General features: G+C 40.8%; 1 annotated feature.

Moving 5' to 3' along the window:
- Positions 3524 to 4023: an enhancer, noted in NCBI's record as "H3K4me1 hESC enhancer chr12:106541977-106542476 (GRCh37/hg19 assembly coordinates)". NCBI's record gives its function as "activates a minimal SCP1, AML or CMV promoter by ChIP-STARR-seq in naive H9 embryonic stem cells {active_cell/tissue: H9 hESC(naive)}" and the evidence as "EXISTENCE:reporter gene assay evidence [ECO:0000049][PMID:30033119]".

The following is a 6000-nucleotide window of genomic DNA, read 5'->3' on the forward strand; positions in this document are numbered from 1 at the left end:
TGCTTGTGTCAGAGATTAAATACGAGTAGTATTCAACAGTCATAAAACAGGAAGAAACAAATTTATTCATTCCACAGTATTTTCCCATACATGTCAGGCACCTGGGGCTGAGAATGTGCTGGGGCAAGACAGGTCTGATCTCATCTTCATGCAGCTTCCAGTCTACGAGTAGTAAGTACAGTTGATAGCATTCAACTGACCTCCAGCCATCAAACTTCTTGGGATAACCCAGGCTACTTGAGTGCAGACTAGATAACTAAAATAAAACTAAAGCTTACTCACAAATCCAACAGAAAGCTATGTTTCTTCCCCCTGCTAAGTGGCTAGAGAAACAAGAATGATGACTAAGGGCAGAGACTCCAGAATCAGAAAAACCCGAGTACAAATGCTGACTGTCCCACTTTCTATCTATGTTCTCTTGGTCAACTTCCTCTTTGTTTCTCAGTTTTCTCAGCTTTAAGATGGGGGCATTAGTAATACCTGTCTCAAAGGGTTTTTTGTTGTTGAGGATTGGATGAGTTAATTAAAAAAAAAAAGCACAAGATCAGCAAGATACGAGTAGTAGCACCCAATAAATGTAGGCTGTTTTTTTGGGTTTTTTTGTTTGTTTGTTTGTTTTGTTTTTTTGCCACCTGCCCACTGGTATTCTATTCTGTATATAAAAAGATATAAGAGAAGGCCTTTCTATGGAGGTTGACAGGTGACATCAGGAAACAGAAGTATAAATAGAATCAGTGGATATTTACAAGGGTCAACAGAAATAGCTCAGATGGAGTTTTAGTTTTAATTTATCTCATGCATTTGATGGTTGAGAGGGCCCATTGAGCCTGTTGGGAAGAGTGTCAGTCTGGGGAGCCACCTCAGTGGGTAACCGATGGAGCAGATGACTGATGACACCCTCCAACACTGACATTCTTGATTCCTTTTGGAGATGTCAGGCTTCCGTTCCTTGCACATTCCTTCTTGCCTTCCTCCTGCACATATGAATGGGATGGAGCACGTGGACAGCTGGCAGCAGTCCCATTTGCCTTGTTTTCTCTGTTCTAAACCCTGTACTGAAAAATAAGATAGCTTCTTCCTGGGGAATAAAACAGCAGGGATTCGTTGGAAGTTTCTGTTATCAAAAAAAAAAGAAACTGAAAGGTGATAAATTCCTGTCAACAGATAAGGCACTGGCAGGACTCCAGAGCAGAAACAACACCGTGCCACCCTGGAAAGAGTGGCTGCCAGAAAGTCGCAAGAGTAAAAATGTCACGTGCAGGGACGTGCTGGGGTCGGGTGGGAGAAAAACTCTAATTGGCTACAATGGAAGAGGCTTAGGCTTTCACTGAGGTTAAATAGGGTTCTGGGCAGGGTGGGGTCCTTTCTCTTGCTGAATAATGCACACATTCCTTTCCCTTCATGGTTCTCAGGGTTTCATGTCTCTTGGCCTTTGCACATGCTATACCCAATTCCTGGGACCCCTCATTTCCTGGCCTCCAGATGACAAACTTCTACCATCTCAGAGACCTAGCTGAGGACGTCACCTCTCCCCTGATCCTGGGCTGGGCAGAACTGAAGGCTCAGTTCTCCTCTGTCCCCAGAGCACTCGGTTCCTGGGTCTATTATAGCACTTACCACATGGTATTACAATTACTCAATTGTGTGCCCAGCTCCCTGCAGTTGCCTGGAAGCTCCGGAATGGCAAGGTCTAGAACAGCACTATCCAATAGAAATATAACGCGAGCCACATAAATAATTTTAACTTTCCTGGCAGCCATGTTAAAAACAAGTCAAAAACAAGAGAAATTAACTTTAATAATATAATATTCGAAATAGTAATAAACATATTACTGTATTACTATAAAATAAATAGTAACAATAAAATATTTGGAATAGTTTAATTTCAATATGTAATTAATATAAACAACTCACTGATAAGATATTTTACATTTTTCTGTGCTCAATCTTCAAAATTCATTATGCATTTCACACTTAGAGTATTCTCAATTCAGAGATAAATTTTCAATGATTAAACTGAAATGCAACTCTAGCAAAACAATAAAGTTGTATTTAATAAAATTTTCATTTGAAAATTTAAATTTAAAAAATCTGAAGCAGTGTAAAATATATTTACAGTTGATTATATAAAATTATATAACATTACTTATATTTATTTTATACATATATATTTATTTTATATATATTTTATATATCCAACAGTATAGAGCTAGATCTTATTCTTCTAAGAGAAGCATAGGTCTGGCTTGTAGTGGGTGCCTTAGGAATGTTGAACAGATGTATGGATGGATGGGTGGGTAGATGGATGGATGAATGGATGGACGGATGGATGGACGGATTGATCGATGAATTTATTTGATGCCTTTACTTTCTCCCTAGTTTGCCATTCAATTTCCTATTCTGGAAATGCATAGCCCAGAAAAGAGAGTGAGAATGAACTTAAGAAAAAAAGTGAATTCACAGAAATCTTCCTTGGACTCCAATTTGCCTGTTTGCCCCATTGGGCAAAGTTCATACAAAACAAAGTTCTACTTTCCAATCCACACAGTTCAGCAACCCAGTACCTTCAACTCTGCTCAGATGTCACCCTCACCATGGGGCCTTTCCTGACCATCCTGTCTACAATTGCAGCCCACCTTCTCCACCTCCCATTCTGCTATTGGCGCTGCTTTCCTTCCCTGGATGCTTTATTCTTCACCATTGCATTTACCACCATATAATATATTATAAAATTTCTTTATTTGTTGTGTTTGTCCCCACATAGCAGGAGTTTTTATTGGTATTATTCACACATGAATCCCTAGTACCTGCTATATAGTAGGTGCTCAATCATTATGTAATGAATGAATGGGTGGATGAATGGTTTGAGTTGAGTTCTAGCAGCTCTTCCACCATTCAGCTCTGTGACCCCAGGAAGTGACTGAACCTCAATCCCTCCATACGTAAAATAGGTATAGTAATAATACTTAGTACATAGGATTGACAGGATACAATCCTACAGAGTTAATGATTACCTTGTAGAACTATGAAAATGTCTATGAAGTGTTTAACATAGTACTACATAGGCACGTGGTAAACACAGACAAAACATTAGCTGCTATTATTATTGTTTAAATAATATTATTATTAGATTTATTCTATCAGGTCTATAGCAAGCATGTAAAACAATTACCATTTCCCAAGTAATTATGTCCCAAACAAACAAACAAAAAAACTGGGTCAGGAAAAAATAGCCCTGGGACCTAGATTTCCTATATAACTGCCTACATTTATCTGTGCTGTGTTTATTTGTATTCTTTTAACTCTGGAAAACAGGTCTCTCAGACCCACCCTGCCAAGACCCAGGGTGGCTCAGTGTCAGGCCCTGCGTCCATTCTGTTTACTGTCACCAGGGACTAAGGCTCTAAAAGCAGGCACGAGAGGGAAGGCATTCCAGGCGGGTCACCAGCCCACCCGTGACGACAGACGCTCCCGGCCCACCTGCTCTGGGACGCTCACACAAGCCTTAGATGGCCTGGGGCCTGGCAGCTCGCCCAGTGGAGCCAGCCTGCCCGGCAGCCGGCTAGCTGGCAAGGGATGCATTAGCTGCCTTCCTGGCAGACAAGCCACGTGCCCTAGATTCCTCTCAAGGGCCTGCTTCTCCTGCTTCTCCCAGCCTCATCCTTTGAAACCCTTAATTTAATAGGCATATTTCCAGTCTGCCAACCCCTTCGTGATGCTCTTCATTCGCCTGTTCACTCATTCATTCAACAGATGTTAGCTGAGCATCTATGATGCTGCAGTCATTCTGCAGATAAAGAGTAATACAAGATGGTCCTCTGCCCTCGAGGAGTTTCTAATACCTCCCATCAGCATGATGCTTTACAGTTTACAAAACACTTTCCCACAAGTGGTCTTTTTTAATTCTCAAAATGATACTTTACTTGGGATTAGATATTTTTATTTCCCACGTTTTTCATGGGATATGCTAAGAGATCGAGAGACTACCCTATGGTCTCGCAACTTACAAGCTCAGGTAATTTGGCTACATAATAGCTAATATCTGAGCAACCAAAAACTTCTCCAAGAAAGGGAGAAGAAATCACATCTCACCAATAGTTGTTATATAAAAGTCACAAAAAGTCAGCTCCTTGAAAGATAAAGTCTATTTGACTGTATATCTAATGGCTCCAAAAAGAAATTGCATGTTTTACATATATAAAAGTCACAAAAAGTCAGCTCCTTAAAAGATAAAGGCTATTCGATTGTACATCTAATGGCTCCAAAAAGAAAGTGCATGTTTTGCATGGTGAGGAGACAGACTGATTTCCTCCATGACAGAACAAGGGACAACTGGGAAACTTCCAGGAATTCGGATTGAGAACCTCGCCAGATCTAGGATCTATCTGTCCCTGGCCTCTCCCATATAAATGCCCCACTCAGGACTCTTGAAACATCTGAACTCAAAACCCTGACTGCCCAAATTAACTGGATATGGACAGATGCTGGAAACACGCACACAGGTATGAACAACACCTCTTTCCCCCAGAAGCACCATTTCCAGCGTCCCTACCTTCAAACCTGAAGTTCTCCAGGGGAAACATCAGGTAGCTTTATAAGGAAAAACATCTCCCCACAGCTCCACCAAGTGGCTGGGTCTGCCCACTGAAAACTTCTCCAAGAAATGGAGAAGAAATCTAGTTCACTTCAGTGCAAGCCAAGGTACAAAATAACGACTAGGACCAAGAAAGAGAAGTTGGCCAAATGGAAATGGGGTGGAGAAATTCTGGGGAGACCCAGGAGGCATGGATGTCCTCAGGGCAGGGAGAAGGAAGGCGGTTGAAGCTCTTTAGCAAAAAGTAATTTGGCAAAAATATATAGACTCAGAGCTAGAAGTAGCCAACACTTCCCTTCTAATAGATAAGAGAACTGAAACCCAGAGACGTTCATGCTCTCATCGTGTGACAGAAGGGCAATGGTGGACCCTGTGCAAAACATGGTACTGGTGTGATCTTACTTAATCCATGTGAGTCTACGGCGGATGTATTACTACTTCCCAATTTTACAGACAAAGATAGGGCGAGAGTCAGCACGCTATGGCCCCCTGCCTGTTTTTGTGCCATACACAAGCTAAGAATGGTTTTTACACTTTTGAGTTGCTTTTGAAAATCAAATAATAATAATATTTCATGATTCATGAAAATTATATGAAATTCAGATTTCAGGGCCATAAATATAGATTTATTTGAACACAGTAACATCCATTTTTTTACGTACATCTATGGCTGCTTTTGAGCTAGAAGGGCAGAACTGAGTAGTTTCAACAGAGATCATATGGCCATCAAAGCCTAAAATATTTACTATCTGGCTCTTTACAGAAAAAAATACCAGCTCCTAGAATAGAGACTCAAAGAAGTCAAAGAACCCAAGAAGAAGTAATACGATGGAAAGAGAACAGAAGGATGGGAAGGAGTTAGAAGGCCAGGTCTGTCACTAACTGATCTGTAAGACCAGGGATAATAATAAAATGTCTTACTGGGTTTGTTGGATGGATGGATTAAAAAGTTTAAAACATGCAAATACTTTGTCAGCTGCGAAGGGCTCTACATGTTGTGTCTATTATTTATCAGACTAGAGCCAGCTTATAGTCTCAATTTCCCAACATTTCCCATCACATCACACAGTCTCTCCTGGCCTTAGTTTCCCCATCTAGAAAATGGGGATAATGATACCCTCCATACCCTCCAATGTAGAGACATCATCAAAATGAAAAAAAAAAGAGAGCATCTTTGTGAAAGCCACTTCTAAAATAATTTGTAGATACTTAGTTTCAGGGTTCCAATCTCCTTTTTAAAATGAAACTGAATGCCATGAGTTTTCAGCCTCCAAGGTAGAATTTCGTGAGCCAGAGAAAGGACAGCACAAAGAAATCCAGCCTGGCTTCAGCTTGGAGTCCCGCTTTTTCAAAAAGAGCAGCTGTCTCACTGTTCTTTCGAAAGGGCAACTGATTGGATTCTCTGT

Source organism: Homo sapiens, chromosome 12 (genome assembly GCF_000001405.40).
Source record: "Homo sapiens chromosome 12, GRCh38.p14 Primary Assembly".
Taxonomy (NCBI): Eukaryota; Metazoa; Chordata; class Mammalia; order Primates; family Hominidae; genus Homo; species Homo sapiens.